The 25194-nt window shown below is 47.1% G+C and overlaps 1 protein-coding gene across 1 annotated transcript, besides 2 other annotated features; it reads left to right on the forward strand.

Annotated features, from left to right (window-relative positions):
* Positions 462–801: a silencer, noted in NCBI's record as "silent region_8920". NCBI's record gives its function as "represses an Ori minimal core promoter by ATAC-STARR-seq in GM12878 lymphoblastoid cells {active_cell/tissue: GM12878}" and the evidence as "EXISTENCE:reporter gene assay evidence [ECO:0000049][PMID:35858748]".
* Positions 547–12170, forward strand: SSTR2 (somatostatin receptor 2). The gene is made up of 2 exons (NM_001050.3): positions 547–825; positions 4765–12170. The coding sequence occupies exon 2, from the start codon at positions 4857–4859 to the stop codon at positions 5964–5966; it is 1110 nt and encodes a 369-aa protein (NP_001041.1). The 5' UTR covers positions 547–825; positions 4765–4856; the 3' UTR covers positions 5967–12170.
* Positions 5822–6400: an enhancer, noted in NCBI's record as "OCT4-NANOG hESC enhancer chr17:71166424-71167002 (GRCh37/hg19 assembly coordinates)". NCBI's record gives its function as "activates a minimal SCP1, AML or CMV promoter by ChIP-STARR-seq in naive and primed H9 embryonic stem cells {active_cell/tissue: H9 hESC(naive and primed)}" and the evidence as "EXISTENCE:reporter gene assay evidence [ECO:0000049][PMID:30033119]".

Here is a 25194-nt window from a genome sequence, read left to right on the forward strand (position 1 = left end):
GGCTCCTAGGACTGAATCTTGGACTCCAGGTGCGGGTTTACACTCCCTGCGCTCATTGGGAACTGCATGGAGAAGCGCTATCCCCTGAGCCCTTTTTCTCCCTACTCTTAGCCTGGCCCTGCGCCCTGCGCCCGGGGCTGGCCCACGGTAAACACAGCTTTGCTAACTTGTTTGGCTAAGGAAATCACAGAGGTCCCGGTATAAGTCTGGGTCACCCCGGCCGCCACTCCAGCTGCCTAGAATATATGGGTGGAAGGGAATCGACTCTGTGAAATCAGAGGGAAAATAGCGCTTGTCCTTGCCATGAGTCTTGAGGAGACCGAAAACGCTTAACCTTTTACGCCCCCGCAGGCGGGTCCCCTCTCTCCCCGCTCCCCGGCTGTCTGTAAGCTCTGCCTGCGGCCACCCGCAGGCGTTTCAGCCGGTCTCACCCCTGTCCTTCTGCAGGACCCGGGAGGAGGGGTTGGGGGGGCGGAGCGAAGCCGCTGTGACGTAGCGGGAGGGGGGCGTGGGGAAATGTGCCGAGGGGCCCGGGCTGGCTGGGCCAGTCCCAGCGGCGCAGCCACCCATGCGCGCGCGCTCGCAAGACCACCAGCGCCCAGAGCCCCAGTCTGAGGCTTGGCGCCGGGGGTCTGCGGGCGAGGGGAGCTCTCTACGTGCGAGGGGCTAGCGGGAGCCGGCACAAGAGGGTCGAGGAGCCAGGAACCCCAAACGTCCGGCGCCAGGCGCTAGCCAAGCTGCTGCGCGCCCCGGCGCCCAGCTGGCTCGGGGACAGCCGCTGGGTGTCGGAGACCGGAGCTAGCGGATTGCAGCGGAAAAGCAAAGGTGAGGGGTGTGTGTGTGTGTGTGTGTGTGTGTGTGTGTGTGTGTGTGATAAGAGAGATGGAGGGAGCGAGAAGCGCACTTGGGCACCTGTGTGCATCTGCGCTGATGGTGGTGTGCCCATCCGAGTGCCTGAGCTTAGGTCCCGGTGCGTGATTCTCCGCTCTTGTGCCTTTTGGGGTGATTGTAGTAGGAATGAACGACAACGGGTACCCTTGCCTGAGTAAGGGGGCTGTGGGTAGAGTGTGCTGGAACGGACGTGTCCTCGCAGCCTCATGCCCGTGTGCGTGGCGTGTGCCCTTTAGCCCGAGATTTCAGGTAGCTGCGACGGGTGACAACTTCTCTCCCAGCCCCCTACAAAAGAGACCTGGCGCGAGGGGAGCGAGGCCGTGAGATGCCAGCTGGGGCTCCTGCGGGAGCGCACCCGGAGATCCGAGCCTGCCAGAGGCAGGCGGCGGGCGCAGAGCGGAGAAAGAGGGGCTTCTCTCCCTAGACGCTGAACGATCTAGGATCCGTCCCCGTCCCCCACCTCGGGACAGAAAGGACAGTTTGTCTAGGTTTGGAGAGAAAAAACCACTGCATAGGCCGTGCCCAAAAGCCGCTGGCCAAGTCCCCCAAGCGACTGTCTTCTGCGCCCCGATGTCTCTGTCCTCAGCGCCCCCCCCCCACACCCGGCACCCCTGCTGTGCGTTTCGATACTGGGCGTGCTGGCGCCACAATCTCCGCTCTTGCCTCGTCTTCCTGGAAATGGCACAGAGTTCTTTGGGAAACCCTTGCTCTGAGGATCAGCGAGTTGGATGGCCAGGAGGAGGACTTTCTGTGCCAGCCGGGAGCAACCGGCTCCGCGGTCCTGACACTCGCCCCTCCATTTCTCAACCCCGTAGGCCAGCACCGCCCCGGCTTTTCCCAGGCGCTCACGCGCCGCGGTGGCCCTCAGGGGCTTTTGTCACCCTGCCAGTGGGGGCTCTCGCTCTAGCCGCACAGAGACCAAGCCGGGTTCTGCAGGCCCTGAGGGAGGCGGGGGGTGGGAAGTGAATGCGGGAAACATGATGGGGAGAGGAGAAACTGAAGCTGAGTAGGATTTAGGACCTCCCCTGATGTCGGGTCGCCATCCCAACACTCATTTCTTGGGCTGGTAATCACAGCCCCTATGTAAAAGGGGGGCGGGGGGGGCAGGTGCGTGAGACCATTCTCACCCTCCTCTCTACAGAGCCTGGACATGGTTCAGAGGAAACCAACCACTAGCCATTTCCAGCATCTAACAATTCTTGGGCTGGAAAAACAAAGAATGCAGAAAACGAAACTTCCTTGTACATTTAATTTAACCACAATTCATCTAGAATTGTCTGCCTGGCATTGGAATATTCTTTCTCTGAAACAAAAATGAAACAGAAGTCTCTGGAAGACCTTAAGCGGCTGACTTCTTTGTTAAATAAGACTCCCCATGATTTAAGCTCATTTCTTGCTTAGAGGAGCCTTCCCACTCTCAGCCGGCTCCCCAGCCTCCCACCTCCACCACCTTCACCAAGACTCTGAACCCTGTCTGTTGCTACCATTAAGCAATTCTGTCCTGTTGACTCAAACTCCAGTTAAAATGACCGAGTTAGGGCTGGAAAGCAACACTCAACCCTCTCTCATACTCCCTGCACCATCATCGTTCCTAGCCCAAAAGCTCTTAGACAGGGGCTCTGCCAACCCAGGGGGATTCCGTGTTACTCAGACATTGGAGTGTGACCATTCATGTTATATAGATGGGCCCCTGGAAATCCCCATGATAAGGTACACTCTGATTGCAGGCAGCTTGAATAGGATTCTGGCTCTGTAGAATTAAACCAACTGACCAGATGGTTAGAAGTGATAACGAAACTACCCAAGTTAATCCAGGGATACTAACCACAGTTTCTGTACAGCTTCTGTTTTAATTGCTGCCAGTCTATGCTTTTTTACGCAATGCAGACATGAAATTCCAGGTGCCTCAAATACTTCACAAAATGGTCAGCCACAAAGCCCAGATCTCACTTCACAGACAGTTGTGTGGTAGGGAAATGAGCACAGAAGGAACGAGCAATGCACCTGGCAGTTCAGAATCAATCAGAAGCAAAGGTGAGCAAGGATCCTCAAGTACTTGTTGCTGGCCAAGTCTCCTTTAACTGATCTGCAGTCTTTCCAAGGATTAAGAAGTAATCTTCCATCTACACCCAGGCACCAGGAAAAGGACCTAGCTCAGGGGAAATGTGTCAGCCAAGTGAATTAGTCCCACTCTGCTGAACACACCACCCTTTGAACATCTCGCCTCTTCCTAGATTGGCCTCTTTGCTGTCCTCCTGCTTCACTCTTCATATACCCAAGACCCAGCTCAAACACTTCTCTTTGGAAGCCTCCTCTGAGTCCCCCAGGAAAGGAAGGCATTCTTAAGTCCTTCATTTATCTCTCGTGCAATGCCCACCCTATATGAGCTGGCTTCCTTTCCTATCTCCCCTTTTAAATTATCACCTCCTAGAGGGCACTGGCCAAGTTTGTTCATTTCTACATCCCTGCTGTCAGCACAAAGAAGCCTCCTCTCCAGGCCCCCAACCCCCGTGATATTTTTTGAATGGCTGTATATCAATCATTTAATTATGGGATGAACTATTGTTTTAGATCTTAAGCCAAGCCAATAGTGCTCCAATTATTTTCTCAGCAAGGAAGTAACACAGGAGTCAGTTGCTTCAAACCAAAGCCCAGTTATCAGCCGTTCGGTCTCTAGGCCACTGAGGAGCAGAGGGGATGCCTTGAGACGTGCAAAAGACTTGGGGCCAGGTGGCCTGTGTTCACATCCCAGCTCCACCAATTATGTGCAAGAGAATGGGGTGAGCTCCTTAAACTCTCTTAAGCCTCAGTTTCCACATCTCTAAAATGGGGGTAATTATCCCTACCACCTAGGACAGTTGGGGAGATCAAGGGACTCGTGAGTGTGAATGAATTATATCAGTACTGGAAGCCTTCTGCTTACTTCTGTGAAAGAGCTTGTGTCCCACACCTGCTTCCCGTTTTTGTCCGTAATTAGAAAATGGCAGGCAAATTCTCTGGAGTGTTACAGCACTTGGGAGCAGCATCCCCTTAGGGACTTTGGGAAAGAGCTCTTGAGGAAGTCAAGCATTAGGTATTGGAAAACAAAAATAGAAGAAAAACAAAAAATAAACTGAAGCCTACATTTCAAAAATGAAAGCAAACCAGACTTTTATTTTTAATACTGAAGACTATAAATTGTTTCACCACGTAGGTAGATTTCAATAAATCAGAGATAATGAGATGGTAGAGGAAAACATGGGGGGAAACAACTTACGAGGTTCCCATTATGAGCCCAACGCAAGGCTAGGCATTTTCACATATATTCCATCATTTAACCTTCATGACGCCCCCATGTGAAGAAATAAGAGTCAGAACCATTAAGGACCAGGCATGTGGTCACACGGGCTCAGCAGTGGAACCCGGTTTGTTCTGCCTCTAGAGTCTGGGTTTTTTCCACTATGGCATTTTCAGAATGGAAAGACTCCAAGGCAGTCAGCAAGTCAGCATAGATTTCCTGGTAGGGAAGAGGCCAGGAATGTCAGTGTCAGACCCTTCTGAGGTCAGGCGCTGAACTTCTCCAAGCTCTGCCTTTCTGCAGTTTAGATCAGTCAACTTCTTAGGGGTCAAAGTATGTGCTTTTTGAAGCCACAGCCCTCCCCGACATGTGCGTCAGCAGATGATGGCTGAACCCAAACCCTTCCCTACTATTGGAAAAACAACTCAAAAAGTCTGCACACTGATGAGGAACTCTAGAGCTTAATGTTGATGTGGAAAGATAATACATTTTTCAATTTAAGAGTATGTCTGAGAGGCTAAACCAGAAATGTGTAAATTTGGTGAGACTTTAAACAGCCTGTGACCGACGGGCCAATCTTCCTCTTTTCCTTCCAGATGTCACACTGGATCCTTGGCCTCCAGGGTCCATTAAGGTGAGAATAAGATCTCTGGGCTGGCTGGAACTAGCCTAAGACTGAAAAGCAGCCATGGACATGGCGGATGAGCCACTCAATGGAAGCCACACATGGCTATCCATTCCATTTGACCTCAATGGCTCTGTGGTGTCAACCAACACCTCAAACCAGACAGAGCCGTACTATGACCTGACAAGCAATGCAGTCCTCACATTCATCTATTTTGTGGTCTGCATCATTGGGTTGTGTGGCAACACACTTGTCATTTATGTCATCCTCCGCTATGCCAAGATGAAGACCATCACCAACATTTACATCCTCAACCTGGCCATCGCAGATGAGCTCTTCATGCTGGGTCTGCCTTTCTTGGCTATGCAGGTGGCTCTGGTCCACTGGCCCTTTGGCAAGGCCATTTGCCGGGTGGTCATGACTGTGGATGGCATCAATCAGTTCACCAGCATCTTCTGCCTGACAGTCATGAGCATCGACCGATACCTGGCTGTGGTCCACCCCATCAAGTCGGCCAAGTGGAGGAGACCCCGGACGGCCAAGATGATCACCATGGCTGTGTGGGGAGTCTCTCTGCTGGTCATCTTGCCCATCATGATATATGCTGGGCTCCGGAGCAACCAGTGGGGGAGAAGCAGCTGCACCATCAACTGGCCAGGTGAATCTGGGGCTTGGTACACAGGGTTCATCATCTACACTTTCATTCTGGGGTTCCTGGTACCCCTCACCATCATCTGTCTTTGCTACCTGTTCATTATCATCAAGGTGAAGTCCTCTGGAATCCGAGTGGGCTCCTCTAAGAGGAAGAAGTCTGAGAAGAAGGTCACCCGAATGGTGTCCATCGTGGTGGCTGTCTTCATCTTCTGCTGGCTTCCCTTCTACATATTCAACGTTTCTTCCGTCTCCATGGCCATCAGCCCCACCCCAGCCCTTAAAGGCATGTTTGACTTTGTGGTGGTCCTCACCTATGCTAACAGCTGTGCCAACCCTATCCTATATGCCTTCTTGTCTGACAACTTCAAGAAGAGCTTCCAGAATGTCCTCTGCTTGGTCAAGGTGAGCGGCACAGATGATGGGGAGCGGAGTGACAGTAAGCAGGACAAATCCCGGCTGAATGAGACCACGGAGACCCAGAGGACCCTCCTCAATGGAGACCTCCAAACCAGTATCTGAACTGCTTGGGGGGTGGGAAAGAACCAAGCCATGCTCTGTCTACTGGCAATGGGCTCCCTACCCACACTGGCTTCCTGCCTCCCACCCCTCACACCTGGCTTCTAGAATAGAGGATTGCTCAGCATGAGTCCAATTCAGAGAACGGTGTTTGAGTCAGCTTGTCTGATTGAATGATAATGTGCTAAATTGATTACCTCCCCCTTAAAGCGAACACTGAAATGCAGGTAGACAATTCAAAGTCTGGAGAAGAGGGATCATGCCTGGATATGATCTTTAGAAACAACAAAAATAGAAAAAAATAAGTATCTGTGTGTTTGTGTATTGAAAACTCAATATGTAATCTTGTGTTTTTATATGTATACTTGTATATTCCTATTTATTCTCTGTATAGGCATTACCTACGTTCCTGTGTTTACATACACAAGTAGCAAATTCGAGTATGCATAGTGTAGATGGACATTTGCCACAACACACTGCCCGCAGAAATGGACTTACCGTGAAGCCAATAAAGTTCAAGCTTCAGGGATCTCTCTTGCACGGGCCTTGCCAAGGCCCAGGAGGGACTTGGGCAGTATGTTCATGTGGTCATATGTTTTTGTAAAAAATTGTGAAAGTAAGATATGTTTGTATTGTTTTTCTTAAAGAGGAACCTCGTATAAGCTTCAAGCCTCACAAACCTTCTAGCCTCTGCCCTTGGGGATTTGCTTCATTAATTTCAGGCAAGTGAGGTCAATGTAAGAAGGGAAAGGGAGAAGATATTTGAAGAACCAGAATGTAAATTCATGTGTTTCCACTTCTCAGATATAGTCAGAGAATTATTCATTTGCCCAAAAGGACTTAAGTGGTTGTGGTCATCCATCATTGTATTTATCAAGACAAAGCCAACTTTGTTATAAGATTGCATTTTTTTCTTTTCAAATTGCTTTAGTTTTTCTTAGGGAGCTATGAGGGGGAAAAATCACTAACATGAAAGGCAAAAAATGGACTATGATTCCTGTGGGGAAACAATTTCATTCTCTCCATCGTGAAAATAAGTGAATAAGAGTGAAGCAAAATTACACCTTTATGAGAAACCATAAAATTGTTTTTATTTTTCAGGCCAGACATAGCTTCCTAATGAAAGAAAATGGAAATGTAATTCGACGACTCCTCAAAGGGGACTTTAGAGGACTTCATACAAAGCTGGGCATTAAGAAAACCACAATGCATGGCCGGGCGTGGTGGCTTACACCTGTAATCCCAGCACTTTGGGAGGCCGAGGTGGGTGGATCACCCGAGGTCAGGAGTTCGAGACCAGCCTGGCCAACATGGTGAAACCCCATCACTACTAAAAATATGTAAATTAGTCGGGCGTGGTGTCACGTGCCTGTAATCCTAGCTGCTCGGGAGGCTGAGGCAGGAGAATCACTTGAACTTGGGAGGTGGAGGTTGCAGTAAGCTGAGATTGTGCCACTGCACTCTAGCCTGAGCAACAAGAGCAAAACTCAGTCTCAAAAAAAAAAAAAAAAAAAAAAAAAAAAAAAAAAAAGGAAAACCACAATGCGTACTAAAGACCAGAAGACATTGTTCACAAAACAAAAGCACCCTCACCTGCCAATGAATATGCAGCGTGCAGGGGGTGTGGTGTGAGTGTTGGTGGGGCCCCACCTCTCGGAGATACTGCTGTGCTGCCTTCCTCACTGACTGTATACATAGTAACTGTCATATCTTTAATGCCATGGACTCACTGAGCCGCTCTGCAAGGACTATTGTAGACAGGCACTTCACACCATAAAGTGGCATTTTTTTCGTTCCCCAAACTGACATTTACAAGCGATAAGAAAAGAGACAATATCCATTTCATTGACTGATCATTTTCTAGAGTATGAAGAAATACACACCTGGGTGTCTGCAAGGATGTCATCATCTTTGGGTTTCATCTGAGAGCATCACTCAGCATCTCACACATAGATGTTACCATATTTTTAAATGAGCTTTCCTCATCCGGCTCCCTAAGCAAGCGCTGTTGGCCGGTGGGAGTGACTAAGTGCTCCACCTGTGGGTGTCCTTCTTAATGTGCTGCTTTTGTTCTGTATAAATTCACACCACCTCACTCCCAAAAGTACTTCCTGTGGCTCAGAAAAATATGTTCAATAAGATTTTGGATAGATAAATCCATACAAAAATAAAAAGAGGTATAGTTATAAAACAAGACTACAGAAAAAGTTGTGGCAGAAATTGCATGCAGGAAAATCCCACACCATTAGTAAAAGTAAGGTCAACTGTAAGTTCAGCTCAGGGCTTCCTAGCAGCCATGTTTAGCGAAGTGTGATTTTTTTTTTTAAACAAAAACAAGCAAAGATTTGGAAGAAAATGCTTTAGACCTAACTTTACAATTATTATAACATAAGATGTTCCAGGGTCCTTGAATAAATGCTGAGTTTTAGGGAAATGATTCCAAGGGACCAAGAATTGGTAGAAATAATTTCAAGGCAGAGAAGACTAATTCTACAGGCCGGGCGTGGTGGCTTATGCCTGTAATCCCACACTTTGGGAGGCTGAGGTGGGTGGATTGCCTGAGGTCAAGAGTTCAAGACCAGCCTGGCCAACATGGTGAAACCCTGTCTCTACTAAAAATACAAAAAATTACCCAGGCATGGTGGCGGGCGCCTGTAATCCCAGCTACTTGGGAGGCTGAGACAGGAGAATGGCTTGAACCCAGGAGGTGGAGATTGCGGTGAGCTGAGATCGTGCCATTGCACTCCAGCCTGGGCAACAAGAGCGAAACTTCATCTCAAAAAAAAAAAACAAAGACTAATTCTATAGTACCCATGACCCTGCAACCAGAGAAACTGCCTGTAGGGAGGCCAGAGTCCAAAGCAGCCACCTGTAACCTGAAAATGAAACGCAGACCCAGGCATCTGTGGGTCTTCATCAGCAGGATGACCATTCTAAGGCTAAAAGACAGGCCTTTAAATCTGATGCTATAATTCCATCCAAATACACAGTTAGGTTTCTACCATAGGGAAAGCTATTCTCTACTTTTTGAAGTATCTGTTTCAAAGATAACTTGCTCTCTGGTTCTCTTTTATCTAAAAGAGAGAATCAACATGCTAATTTAAAGGTTAACATCATTTTAATTCAAAAATTTTAGTCTCCATTCCATATTTAATGATGAAGACAAATCTGCTGGGTGCTGGGAGGGAATAAAAAGTAATGCACCCCATTGATTTCAGAGTATCTGATCACTTGGGTTATGCAAGCTGCTACTTACCCGCCATTAGCATGGGTAGTTAAGTGCTGATTAAACCTAAGTGGACTCAGTGAAAAAGATATTGGGAAAAATAATATGATATTGTGGCCTATGTTGAATGATGTTAGCTTGTGTTTCAGTAACAGAGTTGGGTAATACTGGACGTGTAGATGAAGCTTTAGCAGGGCTGGGCACGGTGGCTCATGCCTGTAATCCCAGCACTTTGGGAGGCTGAGGCGGGTGGATTACCTGAGGTCAGGAGTTCAAGACCAGCCTGGCCAACATGGGGAAACCCTGTCTCTACTAAGAATACAAAAATTAGCTGGGTGTGGTGGCGTGTGCCTGTAATCCCAGCTACTCAGGAGGCTGAGACAGGAGAATCGCTTGAACCCGGGAGGCGAAGGTTGCAGTGAGCCAAGATCGCGCCACTGCACTTCAGCCTGGGTGACAGCACAAGACTCCATCTCAAAAAAAAAAAAAAAAGGAAGAAGAAAAAGAAACTTAAGTGGGGTTCATACATAGCATGGCAGAGGGACACTGGAGAATAAAATGGCATGCAGAGAGGAACACGCGGGCCAGTGGATGAGGCTTCTAGACCTGGCAGTGAACTGGAGTCTATTTGCTTACACAAATTTAACCTTCTCTCCATGATGGAATACAAGTGTTTCTTGCCAAAACTCGCAGCCCCAGCTGCCCTAGATGAGGAGCACCGTGCTGGAAAAGTGCACAGGCTGATCACAGAGACAGGTAGGAAGCAATGGACTGTTAAAATGCATGTTCCGGGCTGGGGATGGTGGCTCACACCTGTGATCTCAGCACTTTGGGAGGCCGAGGCTGGGGAATCGCTTGAGCCCAGGATTTTGAGACTAGCCTAGGCAATATGGTGAGACCCTGCCCTTAAAAAAAAAAAAGAAAAGAAAAGAAAAGAAAAAAAGATTCATATTCCTGATCAGCTCTGAATGTGACTATTCAATGAAGACAGTAAAGTTACAGTGTAAGGCACACATGACCTTTGGCCTTGCTAAAGAAGAGTGGCTGAAGGTCTAGCAAATTAATGCTTGTCTTAGGTTACCTGTTGATTTAAAAACAACAACAACAAAAACCCATAAAAATAGTAAAATATAAAAACAAATTAGTGTTTTATAGACCCTGGGGAAAAGAATTTTCAGCAAAGTACAAAAATTTAAAGCATTCCTTTCTTTAATTTTGTAATTCTTTACTGTAGAACAGCTCAAAATATCAGTTCTGTTTTAAGTAACAGAATTGATAACTGAGCAGGGAAACGTAATTTGGATTGTAAAATTCTTGCTTTAATAAAAATTCTTTAAACAGTCAAAATAGAAAGAAAGAAAGAAAGGTGGCAAGAGAATTATCAAAAGTTTCCATAGATGGTTGGGAAGATCTGATTAGTGTTTCCAAAATGCTTATCATTCTAAGAATCCCAATAGCTGGCAAGCCAAGCAGTGGAACTTATAGTAACAACAATCAATCACTTGTCTCATCCCACATTTTTGCCAAATTCAAAAACACCAAATTTCCCATCAAATGTTCTGTCAGAGTAAACCTTTACCTAAGTGCTTGTTTTGCTTTTAATATGTGAATTTCTGGGAACATTCCCATGGGCAGCCTCTAATTTTTTTTTTTTTTTTTTGAGACAGAGTTTCGCTTTTTCACCCAGGCTGGAGCGCAGTGGCACGATCTTGGCTCACTGCAACCTCCACCTACCGGATTCAAGTGATTCTCCTGCCTCAGCCTCCCAAGTAGCAGGGACTACAGGCACGTGCCACCACGCCCAGCTAATTTTTGTATTTTTAGTGGAGATGGGTTTTTGCCATGTTGGCCAGGCAGGTCTTGAACTCTTGACCTCAGGTGATCCGCCTGCCTCAGTGTCCCAAAGTGTTGGGATTACAGGCACGAGCCACCGCGCTCAGCCAATTTTTCCTCAACTCTCTCTTTCCTGGACGGGCTGCGTTGGGGGGAGGTGCAGGGAAAGAACACCTCTTTGCTTAGACATTGGTGTCGACAGTGGGGATACTAAGTTCATCTCCTGATCCTGCTAGGCCTGGAAGCAGGAAAGAAATGTCCTGGTTAGAGATAAAATTGTTCTATCCTTTTAGAAAAGCCTGTTAAGGAATATGATGCAAAGCCACCTTCGACGAAATCTGAAATGATACCCCACAGCCTTGTCCACCCCAATTATTCAGTGACAGGGCTCCAGTTGCTTAAGCCATAGAGAAGGCCCCTTTGCAGTGGGAGTCACTGAAGACAGAAAGGGAAGCCCAGGATGAACCCAGTCCTAAGGGCTGCTGGGGGCCACCAAATAAGACTGTTTTAGCCCTGGACACAGAGGGAGACACAGTCATCCCAGATCCTTACAAAGAATACATTGCCAAGGACCCCGAAGGAAATCTGCTTGTCTTAAGAGAGGAAGACCCACGACCAGCTCTCTGGGACTACCTGTCAACTCAGCAGGTGCAGCCAGGGAGCAGCCATGCTTCTTCTGCCCTCCCAGTAGGCTGGGCTATCAGTTCCTGGGAGGGGTCCTGTCCCCATGTAAGGGGATATGTACATTGCTGAGTACGCTGATATCTTTTTCATGGGTATGATTTTTTAACAAGAAAGCTAAATGGTTCTCGTGTAACATAACTGATATAGTTTGGCTGTGTCCCCACCCAAATCTTATCTTGAACTGCAGCTCCCATAATCCCCAGGTGTTGTGGGAGGGACCCAGTGGGAGGTAATTGAATCATGGGGGTGGTTACCGCCATGCTGTTCTCGTGATAGCGAGTGAGTTCTCACGAGATCTGATGGTTTTATAAGGGGCTTTCCCCCTCCTTCGCTCTGCACTTCTCCTTGCTGCCATGCGAAGAAGGATGTGTTTGCTTCCCCTTCTGCCATGATTGTAAGTTTCCTGAGGCCTCCCCAGCCATGTTAAACTTTGAGTTAATTAAACCTCTTTCCTTTATAAATTACCCAGTCTTGCGTATGTCTTTATTAGCAGTGTGAGAATGGACTAATACAATAACCAAGGCTTGGTGGCTTTCTCAACATTAACCAGCATCCCAGTTCTCAGGAGACATGGATGGTGTTCTAAGGCTCTCAAGTTCCCAACTTGTACCTTCACTCTAGTTTGTGCTCCCAAGCACATGCACACATAAACACACACGTAATGTACATGCATATAGGTGGCATGACAGAACACATGTGTGATGCTTCACATGTATGTCACCCTCCCCTTGTCCACTGCCCTGCTCCAGCCCATTTCCATGGCTCAGTCTACATCTGCTCATCTTGTTTGCTTAAGTACCATGCATGTGAAAGACATGCTCACGTGTGTGTGATATTCATGCACATACATGTTAGGCACACGTGATGCACATGTGTACATGGGAGGCATGTGTGTGATGTGTACACACAGTATACATCCTGTATTGCCTCGGCAAGACCTCAATGCAGAGATTCTCCAGCAGCTTTAAACAGAGGGTGATAAATATAATTTGACTAACTCATCTCAAATCTAGGGATAGTTAGTCTTTTTTTTGAGACAGAATTTCGCTTTTTTTGCCCAGGCTGGAGTGCAGTGGTGCGATCTTGGCTCACTGCAACCCCCACCTCCCGGGTTCAAGCGATTCACCTGCCTCAGCCTCCCAAGTAACTGGGATTACAGGCATGTGCCATCACGCTCAGCTAATTTTTTTTGTATTTTTAGTAGAGACGGGGTTTCACCTCGATGGCCAGGTTGGTCTCGAACTCCTGACCCCCAAGTGATCCACCCACCTCGGCCTCCCAAAGTGCTGGGATTACAGGCATGAGCCACCCCGCCTGGCCAGTTAGTCATTTTTTCTAGACTGCTGCCACGATAGGGAGGAGGACATTATGCATAAACTAGTTTTTTACCCAGAGAATTCCATGCTAGATCACAGACTGCATGCCTAGCATGCCCAGCCCCAGCCAGCTGTCCCTGCCTCAATTCAACACCACCAGCAAAAAGGGTTGGCAAAAGGGTGTGACGGCTTCCTGCAAATCACCCCCACCGGTCCATTGGCATGAAGCACTTGTACTGCTAACAGCAACATTTTTGCATAAGAAAAATGATACAATTTCTTCATAGAAAAATCACTGAAAATAATTCTTAAATTGAGTCTCATCAATGACAGCATCTTAACAGACATTTCTTCCCCCTGGTCCCCCGGACCATGCTTCTTAATACAAATCCAAGGCTGAACGCTATGGGGAAGCTGTGATACTCTGCCAGTGAGAAAATGAATGGCCGCTGTCTTCCTTGCCCGTGAGCACACCTCCGCAAAAGAGTCTCTTAAACAGAAAGGAAACCTTCCCTTTGTCCATGGTCCTGCTTGTTCATTTCCGTGGCTTGGGATATCTACCTTGGCTCATCTTGTTTGCTTAAGTATCAGCCAGTGTGTGATGGAGAAGAGAGTATTGTTATGTCTTCCTCTGAGGAACAGAAGTCTGATCTCCAGGGTTCATTCTCAAGATTAATTAAAGCTAGCCTAGTCTCAGCTGTGCTGCCAGCCCAGCGTGCTAGACACTCACAGAGCAAAGGCTTGGGTGGAAGGAAGACTTACTTTTTTTGCCTTCAGCTTAAGCACTTTTTGGCAGATGAAAATCCTGTCCTAAATATCTCTTCCAAACTCCCAGGTGGATGGGCTCGGGAGATGACAGACCACAGCTGTTCCACTTTTTTTCTCTGCACCTTCACGTGACCACCTGTCTCCAAGGGTTTGCAAGCTCAAAGGTAGCAGAACATGCAACTTCAGCCATACCATGTGGCCTCCTCGAAGGTCTGTCTTTGCAGCCCAGGAAACCTATTGCTTCTTGGTTTTAAATGGAACATTTCTAGTCCAGCTGAGCCGACACAAAATCTGGTTGGATATCAGTAATATGGTTCTGGGATGTTGGGCAGACATGGAAATGGGTATTTACAGAGTTTGGGACTTTGAGGGCTTCCTTCCTGCCTCCAGGACCAATAAAGTAAATGTTAATTGCTGGAGAAGAACCAAGGTGAGGCACTGATGTGGCAGGCTGCTTCAGCAGTGACGTCTGTTTTCAGAGATCAGCTTCACCTTAGAGAGTGTCAAGGTCAGTGGAGGCCCACTTTGCTCTCAGCAAAGTCAAGACAGGAGACCAGCTGCCTTTGAGCAGGGAGTCTCACATGTTTAAAATTTAGCAATTAGAGTTTGTTTCCTTTAACTATGCCCTTGATCTGTCTTTCAAAACAATGTCCCCTTATAGTTTATATTTAAAATTTTAACTTCAGCACTTTGGAAGGCCGAGGCAGGAAGATTGCTTGAGCCTAGCAGTTCGAGACCAGCCTGGGCAACACAGAGGACCCTCACCTCTACAAAAAAAAATTTAAAAATCAGCCACGTGTAGTGGTGAACACCTGTACTCTCAGCTGCTTGGGAGGCTGAGGCAGGAGGATAACTTGAACCTGGGAGGTTGAAGCTGCAGCGATCCACGATTATGCCATTGCACTCCAACCTGGGTGACAGAGAGAGACTCTGTCTCTAAAAATAAAATATAAAAATAAAAATAAGATACAAATTTAAAATGCCTTTCTATTTTTATTTATTTGAGACGGAGTCTCACTCTGTTGCCCAGGCTGGAGTGCAATGGCGCGATCTCAGCTCACTGCAACCTCCGCCTCCCGGGTTCAAGAAATTCTCATGTCTCAGCTTCCCCAGTAGCTGAGATGACGGGAGTGGGCCACCACATCCAGCTAATTTTTGTATTTTAGTAGAGACAGGGTTTCACCATGCTGGTCAGGCTGGTCTTGAATGCCGGACCTCAAGTGATCCACCCACCTTGGCCTTAAAATCCCTTTTTAAAGAGGCATTTGAGAATTCCACAATATTTCCTTTAAACAACTCGAAAGGGACACTTTGTTTTCATAAAATGCGGTTGGGAAGCAATTTCGAAAGAGTCAACAAAGGCATTTCATCCCAGGGTGGATGGAGCAGAGCCGGGTCTCATTCTTTTTCTCCATCTCTCCCTCCTTTTGGTCTTGCCTGCCCTTTGACAGAAACAATTTAATATGTAGCTGAGCAGGGGAAAAGGGCTCCTAGTTAGAAAAGCCAGTTAAGACAGGGTTCCCATTAACTTGGAGGGGTCAACCAGCCAGCTTAGCCAGCTCACAGAGGTCTCATATGCGTGCTCTGATTGCCAACAAAAAGTAGCAGCAGACAATTCAAGGGGAAAGACCCAGGGAAGTCTCCACTCCAGGGTCTAACAACCTGAGAGCCATCTCATCAGTAAAGAGCAGGGCGTGGAGTACAGGGAGCTGACATTTAGACTGGTTAAAAGCTAGTATAATCTGAACAGCGCATTGTTCCTGAAGCCTACCTACTCCTGATTTCATAGCTAATCTATCCATCACTCTCTGGCTGTCACTCACCCATAAACAACAGTGGATTTTTATAAACAGTAGATCAATCATGATCAAAGGAAACTGAACACTCTTTCCACATGGCTCCCACACACACCTCACCCTGCTCTGTCCTTTTGGGTGGTGCCGAGAAGCCTTTGAGATCACCCCAGTCTTTGAGGACTAAATGGAGACAAGGAAGCTTGGGACATCCAGGAAAAGTCTTCAGCAGCCCTGACTGCAAAAACAGTTTCAATTATGTGATGTGATTGGTGGTTTTAACATGTCAAGAGTAGGTGTGCACATGGTCCACAGCTAGAATTTTTATTATTATTATTATTTTTTTTTTTTGAGACAGAGTCTTGCTCTCTCACCCAGACTGGAGTGCAATGGTGTGATCTCGGCTCACTGCAACCTCCACCTCCCAGGTTCAAGCAATTCTCCTGCCTCCCCAGTAGCTGGGATTACAGGCACGCGCCACCATGCCTGGCTAATTTTTATATTTTTAGTAGAGATGGGTTTTCACTGTGTTGGCCAGACTGGTCTCGAATTTCTAACGTCAAGTGATCCGCCCACCTCAGCCTTCCAAAGTGCTGGGATTACAGGCATGAGCCACCATGCTTATTATTATTATTATTATTATTATTATTATTATTATGGTATTTTTGAATGTAATTATTCTTAATAATATGTCATCTCTGCATGTCCAGTATTTCGATAAAACAGTTAAAACTGCATTTGCCTTCTAATGAGACTTTGTGACTGGCTGTGTTTCTCTGTCAGATGAATTTACCTTCCTATTTGCTGTTAAAAGTGATTGTATAATCCTAATCCTAGAAAACAAGCAGCAAATGTTTCTTTTTAGTGACTTTTTAAAAAATTTACAAGTGTACCATTTTATAGCTATCTTCACACAAAATCACATTCTCAATCAAAGAGACTCAGATCGAAGTTTGTTCATTAGGCCAGCTACGTGAACTCACCTCTGTCCCCTGCCTCTGAAAAATATCCTACATGCTCAGGAAAGAGGGCCAGAGTCCTAAGTGACATAACCTACACTTTCTAAGTTCCCTAAAGCCCTGAACTAGAAATAGGCTTTAAAATTTCACAATTTGTTTTAAAACTCTAAGCCCAACAGAAAGCCTACAAAGTCTTTTCTAGATGTTACCAAGGTCTTGGCTATCACTTGTCTGAGAGCAAAAGAAAAAAACAAAAGAAAAACCTTGAAAATTGGCAACTACTGGTGAATCCCATTTTGTCCACAGACTGATTTTTTTTTTTTTTTTAAAGACGGTGTCTTGCTCTGTTGCCCAGGCTGGAGTGCAGTGGCATGATCTCAGTTCACTGCAACCTCCGTCTCCTGGGTTCCAGTGATTCTCCTGCCTCAGCCTCCCAAGTAGCTGGGATTACAGGCACCTGCTACCATGCCCGGCTAATTTTTTTGTATTTTTAGTAGAGACGGGTTTTGCCATGTTGGCCAGGCTGGTCTCAAACTCTTGACCTCAGGTGATCCACCCGCCTCGGCTTCTCAAAGTGCTAGGATTACAGGTGTGAGCCACCGCACCCAGCCACAGAGACTAATTTTTAATGGCCCCATCTGGTCTCTTCCAGATTTTGTAGCCTAGTTTAAACAGAATGTCTAAGTCATCGTCAAGCAGATGACAAAAGGGTGCCCTAAAAGTGCCATAAAGATGCACCAGGTCTCAGTGATAGCAAAGCTGACTATAGACAAATGCCCAGAGTTTAGAAATTAGGCCCCCAAAACCAACTTGTTACCATCTTCTCATCTTTCACTCAAATCCAAAACATAAGAAAATTCCAGTTGCTTAAGTTAGAGTAAATCAGACGCTAACATCAGAAAAAAATTAGCTGGTTGTTCACTATGTACCAAGCCCTGTTCTAAGCACTTAATATGAATCATCTCATTCAATTCCCATAAGAGCTCTCTGAAGTAAGTGCTACTTTTATTCCCATTATACAGATGAGCAAACTGAGGCATAGCATACTTGAGTCACTTGACCAGAACCTGCACTCTTTTTTCTTTGTTTGTTTTTTGTTTTTGAGACAGAGTCTTGCTCTGTCGCCCAGGCTGGAGTGCAGTGGCGTGATCTTGGCTCACCACAACCTCTGCCTCCTGGGTTCACGCCATTCTCCTGCCTCAGCCTCCCAAGTAGCTGGGACTACAGGCGCCCGCCACCACGCCCGGCTAATTTTTTTTGTATTTTTTAGTAGAGATGGGGTTTCACCGTGTTAGCCAGGATGGTCTCGATCTCCTGACCTCGTGATCCGCCCACCTCGGCCTCCCGAAGTGCTGGGATTACAAGCTTGAGCCACCATGCCCAGCCAGTACCTGCACTCTTACCCACTTCTCCACATTGCATGACCACCTACAGAAAGTGTGAGCTTGAGCAAGTGCCTGACCTTCCAGAGACCATGCTTCCTCGTTTGCAAAACAGGGATAACACCAAGTACCTCAAGGAATTCTGTAACGATCAGATGAAAAGAAATATTGAAGACAATTTGTCACATTATCAGACAAAGAGAGGTACCCAGTACATATTAGCATCCCTTCACCTTTAATCAGAGCAAAAGAAGACCAGAAATGTTTTGGTTGTTAAACAGCTGATCATTTTCCAAAATTGCTAATATTAAACTACGGCTTCTAATCCTGCCATCGGTAGAAAGCTTGGCCAGCACTAACAAAACCAGCCATGTGACGCAAGATGAAAGCAAATCGGAGTGCAGAAAAGTAAATGCAATTAGCTGGCTACCTGATAAGGTGGCACACGCTGCACAAAGAGTGTTCCTTTCTGGCTAGAGGACTTTACTCCTCTGTTAACCCTAATTCAATGGTCTCTACCACACGGGACCGGGAATAAACTTCCATCTCCCTAAACAGAGCTTCATCGTCTTGCCAAAGCATTCTGGAAACTTAGCAGTTCGTGGTATGTTACAAATCGCTGAGCTCTTTTCCTCCTCCCTCCAGTGTGGGACCACGGTTGGCCTGGGGCCTGGCGCTCACCATAGAGAGAGGAGCGTGCAGTGAATCCTGGGTTTATCACCATCTGCACTGCTCCAGGGTCCAGCTGGAGACAGATGGCACACTCGCAAGGGCTTAGTTGAAATGAATGGAATGAAGGAGCTACATACAGAGGTGGGGGCAGGTGCAAAGGAGCCACCAAGAGACGGATGAGGTGCCTGGAGACTGGGCATGGGAATAAGGGAATACAAAGGCTTAAAAGGGACAGAAGCCTTCTCTAACTCCATAAGGAACATTCAAAAGTCCAGACTTCACATTGTTTGACGGGGAGGGAAGGGCTGATGTTAGACATGAATATAAATATGAATGAATTCAGCATTTCTGAAACTAGACTAAATCAATCTGGTCATTTTCTTTCTCTCATTTAAGAATTGTAGGGTAACACGTAGTTGGAATATTTACGGATTTTTTTTTTTTAGCATATCAGGAAATTACCTTATTACAAAGCTAAATTTGCGTTCAGGCACTCAATGATTATTGAGTGTCTACTGTGTGACAGAGATTGTTTTAGAAGCTGAGAATTTAGTAAGAAAGACAAAAGGTAGAGCAGAAGACAGGTACAGTGGTGCACGCCTGTAGTCCCACCTACTTGTGAGGCTGTTGGGAGGATCCTTTGAGCCCAGCAGTTCGAGACCAACCTGGGAAACACAGCAAGACCCTGTCTCTAAATAAATAAATAAATAAATAAATAAATAAATAAATAAATAAATAAATAAATAAATGACCAGGTCTCTGCTCCTTGTTGTGAGACACTCAACAAACACACATAAATAGATGAACATGTAATTCCAATACCGTGACAAACGCTATGATGAAAATGCATAAGCAGGCCAGGCACAGTGAGTGGCTCATGCCCGTAATCCCAATGCTTTGGGGGGCCGAGGTGGGCGAATCACCTGGGGTCAGGAGTTCGAGACCAACCTGGCCAACATGGTGAAACCCGTCTCTACTCAAAACACAAAAATTAGCTGGGTGTGGTAGCACACACCTACTTGGGAGGCTGAGGTGGGAGAATCACTTGATACCAGGAGGTGGAGGTTGCAGTGAGCCGATACGGCGCCACTGCACTCTAGCCTAGGTGGCACCACGGCACTCTAGCCTAGGCGACAAGAGTGAAACGCCCTCTCAAAACAAAAAAGAAAAAGAAAATGCATAAGCAGTAAAGAGTGGGGGTCAAAGGCCTGGGTTTGAGAGCCACACAGCTGGTTTATATCTCAACTCTGCTACTTCCTCAATGATTTGGGGCAAATTACATAACCTCCCTTGGCCCCAGTTTCCTCCTCAGTGAAGTGGAGATAACAACAGGATCTGAAGCACGCATGGTGGCTCATCCCTGTAATCCCAGCACTTTAGGAAGCCGAGGCAGGAAGATTGCTTGAGCCCAAGACTTTGAGATCAGCTTAGGCAACATAGCAAGACCTTGTCTCTCCAAAAAAATAGCCAGGTGTGATGGCACACACTTGTGGTCCCAGCTACTCAGGGGGCTAAGGTGGGAGAATCACTTGAGCCCAAGTGGTCAAGGCTACAGTGAGCTGTGATCACACCACTGCACTCCAGCCTGGGCAACAGAGCAAGACCCTGTCTCAAGAGAAAAAAAAAGGACAGGATCAAGATAGTTCACTTTCAAGGTTTATAAGAGTGATAACAGTGGCTGACATGTATTGAGTTGTTGATAAACACTAGCTTTTATTATTTTAGATGGGTGGTTCAGGCAGGCTTCTTGGAGGAGGTGACTGCCATATGAAGATCTGCAGAAGAAACAGCACAAACAATGGCTTTAGGAAGGAGGGAACCAAAGCTTGTTTATGAAGCAGGAAGAAGACCAGGGAGGCCAGAGTAGAGTGAGGGAGGAGGAGAGTGGGGTGAGGGAGGAGGAGAGTGGGGTCAGGTAGGGTCAGGCCACGCAGGGACTTGAAGGTCTTTGATGGGAGTTTGCATCTGGCCAAGAGGGATGGGCAGCCGGGGGAGGTTTTAAGCAGAGGATACACAAAACCTGGTTTCCACTTTTAAAAGTCGGCTTTGTAGCAAGGAGCATGAACTAAAAGGGGTCAGAAGTAGAGGCTGGGTACGGTGGCACACGCCAATAATCCCAGCAGTTTGGGAGGCCGAGGCAGAAGGATCATTTGAGGCCAGAAGTTCAATACCAGCCTGGGCAACACAGTGAAACCCTGTCTCTACAAAAAATTCAAAAATTAGGCCAGATGCAGTGGCTCATGCCTATAATCTCAGCACTTTGGGAGGCTGAGGAGGGCAGATCACCTGAGCTCGGGAGTTCAAGACCAGCCTGGACAATATGGCGAAACCCCTTCTCTACCAAAAACACAAAAATTAGCCAGGCACAGTGGCACGTGCTTGTGGCCCCACCTACTCGGGAGGCTGAGGTGGGAGGATTGCTTGAGCCTGGAGGTGGAGGTTGCAGTGAGCTGAGATCCTGCCACTGCACTCCAGCCTGGGTGACAAAGTGAGACCCCCTCTCAAAAAAAAAAAATTAAAAATTAGCCAGTTGTGGTGGCACACACCTGTTGTCCCAGCTACTCAGGAGGCTTAGGTGGGAGGATTGCTTGAGCCTGGGAAGGTCAAGGCTGCAGGGAGCTGTGATTGTGCCACTGCACTCCAGTCTGGGTAACAGAGCAAGATTCTGTAGAAAGAAAGAGGAAGAAAGAAAGGAAAAGAAAAAGAAAAGAAAAGAAAAAAGAAAAGAAAAGGGCCGGGCGTGGTAGCTCACGCCTGTAATCCCAGCACTTTGGGTGGCCGAGGTAGGCGGATCACTTGAGGCCAGGAGTTCGAGGCCAGCCTGGCCAACATGGTGAAACCCTGTCTCTACTAAAAATACAAAAATTAACCAGGTGTGGTAGTGCATGCCTGTAATCCCAGCTACTTGGGAGGCTGAGGCAGGAGAATCGCTTGAACCCGGGAGGTGGAGGTTGCAGTGAGCCGAGATCATGCCACTGCACTCTAGCCTGGGCGACAGAGCAAGACTCCATCTCAAAAAAAAAGTAAAGAAAGAAAGGATGAGAAGCTGTTAACCTGGACCAGTGGAAATGGAAAAAGAGCAGGGGTCACCAAACCATGGTCCAAGAGCCAAAATGGGCCCTTCGCCTGTTTTATTAAATACAGTTGGCCCTTTCAGCAACACGTGTTTAAACCGCACGGGTCCATTTTTTTCCTGATTTTTTTCAACCAAACAGTGATTGGAAATAGAGAATTTGTGGGATGCAAAACCCGTGTATATGGAAGGTCCACTTTTCATACTCACAGGTTTCACAAGGCTGACCGCAGGTCTTGAGTGTGCACGAATTTGGAGATATACAGGGGTCCTGGATCCAATCCCCCTCGGATACTGGGGGATGCCTGTAAAGTCTTACTGGACACAGCCACACCCACCTGCGGATGTGCTGCCTGTTGCTGCTTTGGGGCGACAACGGGCTTGCTGAATTGTGTTGACAGAGACCGCAAGGTTGGCCGGGTGCAGTGGTTCATGCCTGTAATCCCAGCACTTTGGGAGGCTGAGATGGGCGGATCACCTGAGGTCGGGAGTTCGAGACCAGCCTGGCCAATATGGTCAAACCCCATCTTTACCGCCACCCCCCCCCCCCCCAAAAAAAAGACAGAGACTGCAGGGTCTGCAAAGTCCACTTACTATCTGGCTCTTTATAGCAAAAGCTCATCCATCTGTGTTTTGGAGGAAGAGCCGATAGGGCTTGTGAAAGCACTGGGTATGCAGAGTGAGAGAGAGATGGAAGACTTCCTGAGTCTGAGCCATGAATAGCTGGGCGGTGCCATTTCTTGAGATAGGAATGACTTGGAGTGAGGGCCTAGGAGGGACACTAAGAAGAGAGTTGTTATTCTGGATGTGTTAAATTTGAGATGTCTCTTAGACATCCAAATGGAGTTTCTTTTCTTTTTTGGAGACAGAATCTCACTCTGTCACCCAGGCTGGCGTGCAATGGCACAATCTTGGCTCACTGCAACCTCTGCCTCCTGGGTTCAAGCAATTCTCCTGCCTCAGCCTCCTGAGTAGCTGGGACTACAGGTGCCCACCACCACGCCTGGTTAATTTTTGTATTTTTTTAGTAGACACAGGGTTTCACTATATTGGCCAGGTGGTCTCGAACTCCTGGCCTCAGGAGATCCTTTGGGAGGCCTTGGCCTCGCAAAGTGCTGGGATTACAGGCATGAGCCACCGTCGCCGGCCCCAAGTGGAGTTTCTAAGGAGGCAGCCAGATGTACAAGACAGGAGTATAGGCGCAGGAGGAACAAATGTAGGAGTTTCTGCAAACATGCCTGCCTGGCTGTTTGCTGAAGGCAGAGTCTCAGGTATCTGCAAACAGTTAAGTCAAATAACCACCGCTTCTACCACAAATGTCACCTCCAGTAGACACAGGCTGATAAACACTGCCATAAAGATAAGATGTCAAGACAACTACATTAGGGCTCTCTTGATCCCATTGGCATCTCAGCCAAGAGCAAACACCAACTGTCCGAATCCCACTGAGCAATAGTGTGGAATTCAACCTCCTGTCCTGCCCCGGATGTTACTTTTATTGACAGTGTATCCCTTACAACATCAAATTTCCCTTTCTTTCCTCCCCTGTTTGTTAATTTGTGATCAATTTCCAATTTCCTCTCCTTTCCTTTTTTCTTCCTTCTCGCTTTCACCCTTTCCATTTCTCCTAGCTTAGCTAGAATTAAATTTCTTATTTTCATTTTCCTGGGTAATTTTGTCTCTCCCATTTATTTTCTCTTCTCCAGGTATCCCCAGCTTTAATTCCCTCCTAAGTTTATCAGAGAATGACCCTTCGTCCAACATCATCAGGGCCCAGGTACAAGATTCAGCAGGTTCACTCTTCAGAGTCTATATGGACGTGCCAAAAACGCAGCCACCTTACATCGAAGAGGAGGTATTGGAAGAAGGGTTGAAGTGGATGTGAGATGAGATGGGTGAGAATTGTCTTACTGCTTTTATTATTTCAATTAGACAACTGAGGGCGAAAAGCCCTTGTGCCTTTTCCAGTGCATCCTTTGTGTAGACACTGTGATTATGTAACATATATGCTTGGCATATTTTGCAAATATTTATTGAATCATTTGGTTTGACAGCCAAGATCTATGGGACCCATGCTCCCAGATGCTAGATCACAGATTGCATAAGGAAAGAACATGTGGTGTCTACAAAATCTGCAATGTTGAAACTCTCCACTTTGGGCATTATCCTGGCTTGCTTTCTATATTTCTATTAAAAAGTAAAGAGAGCTGGGTAAGTGGCTCACACCTGTAATCCTAGCACTTTGGGAGGCTGAGGCAGGAAGATGGCTTGAGGCCAGGAGTTCAAGACCAGCCTGGACAACATAGTGAAACCCCCATCTCTACAAAAAATTTAGAAATTAGCTGGATGTAGTAGTGCATTCCTGTGGTCCCAGCTACTCCAGAGGCTGAGGTGGGAGGACCGCTTGGGCCCAGGAGGTCAAGGCTGCAGTGAGCTGTGATCATGCTACTGTACTCCAGTCTCAAATAAATAAATAAATAAATAAATAACAGGAGAAATCTGTCTGCTCAATGTTCTGAATAAGACTATACTGATCAGGACTGGGCGCTGTGGCTCATGCCTGTAATCCCAACACTTTGGGAGGCTCAGGCGGGCAGACCACCTGAGGTCAGGAGTTTGAGACCAGCATGGCCAAAATGGTGAAACCCTGTCTCTACTAAAAATACAAAAAATTAGCCGGGTGTGGTAGTGCGCGCCTGTAGTCCCAGCTACTTGGGAGACTGAGGCACGAGAACTGCTTGAGCCTGGGATGGGAAGGCTGCAGCGAGCTGAGATCATGCCACTGCTCTCCAGCCTGGGAAACAGAGTGAGACTCCGTCTCAAAAAAAAAAAAAAAAAAAGAGTGTGCCGATGGGTCTAAAGAAACTAAAATGTCAGAATATATCCACTGTGTTGAAAGACTGCCCTCCAGCATGCAGATGCTTGGCTACCAGGCATGGCCACCCCATGTGTCATCTGCCCCCAAATCACTGGATAGCCACTCCAACTTGGGTGCCCAAACTGACTGTAGAGACCCACCCTTAGGCAGAGATCAGGAAGCAGTGTGGGTACCATCCGAATGGTGCTCAGAATTGTTTGAGCCATCTGTTTCTTGATATTCTGAAATTTTCTTTGAAGCTAATAATGTGACAATGTAGAAAGATCAAGGACTTCTAGAGCCAGGGGATCTGAAGACAGGCACCTGTGTGAACTCACGCAGGTTGCTTGATGCTAAAGGTTATCACACAACACACATGAACTCATCCCTATACCAGAACTAAACTATGGCAATAAGGCGAAAAGGTGCCTCTTTCACTCAGGTACCTCCTAATACCTTGAGAAAAAAAGGCTCCAGGTTCTCATCTCTGTCTTGCTGTCCCCGGCACAGTGCCTGGCCCGGCTGTGGCAGCTGAGGTCTTTGCCCCTGATCCGTGGTTTTGATGGTCCCAGCTGATATGCAGAAGGCAGAGGAAGGGGGTGGTGCTGTCCTGGGAGGCAGAGGACAAGGAAAGGAGCCATGGAGAGGAAAGAGTTAAAGACACATTT

Source organism: Homo sapiens, chromosome 17 (assembly GCF_000001405.40).
Source record: "Homo sapiens chromosome 17, GRCh38.p14 Primary Assembly".
Lineage (NCBI taxonomy): Eukaryota > Metazoa > Chordata > Mammalia > Primates > Hominidae > Homo > Homo sapiens.

Excerpts from the sequence above, each read along its gene's own strand:
- SSTR2 (NM_001050.3), top strand. The coding sequence starts at position 4,857 with ATGGACATGGCGGATGAGCCACTCAATGGAAGCCACACATGGCTATCC.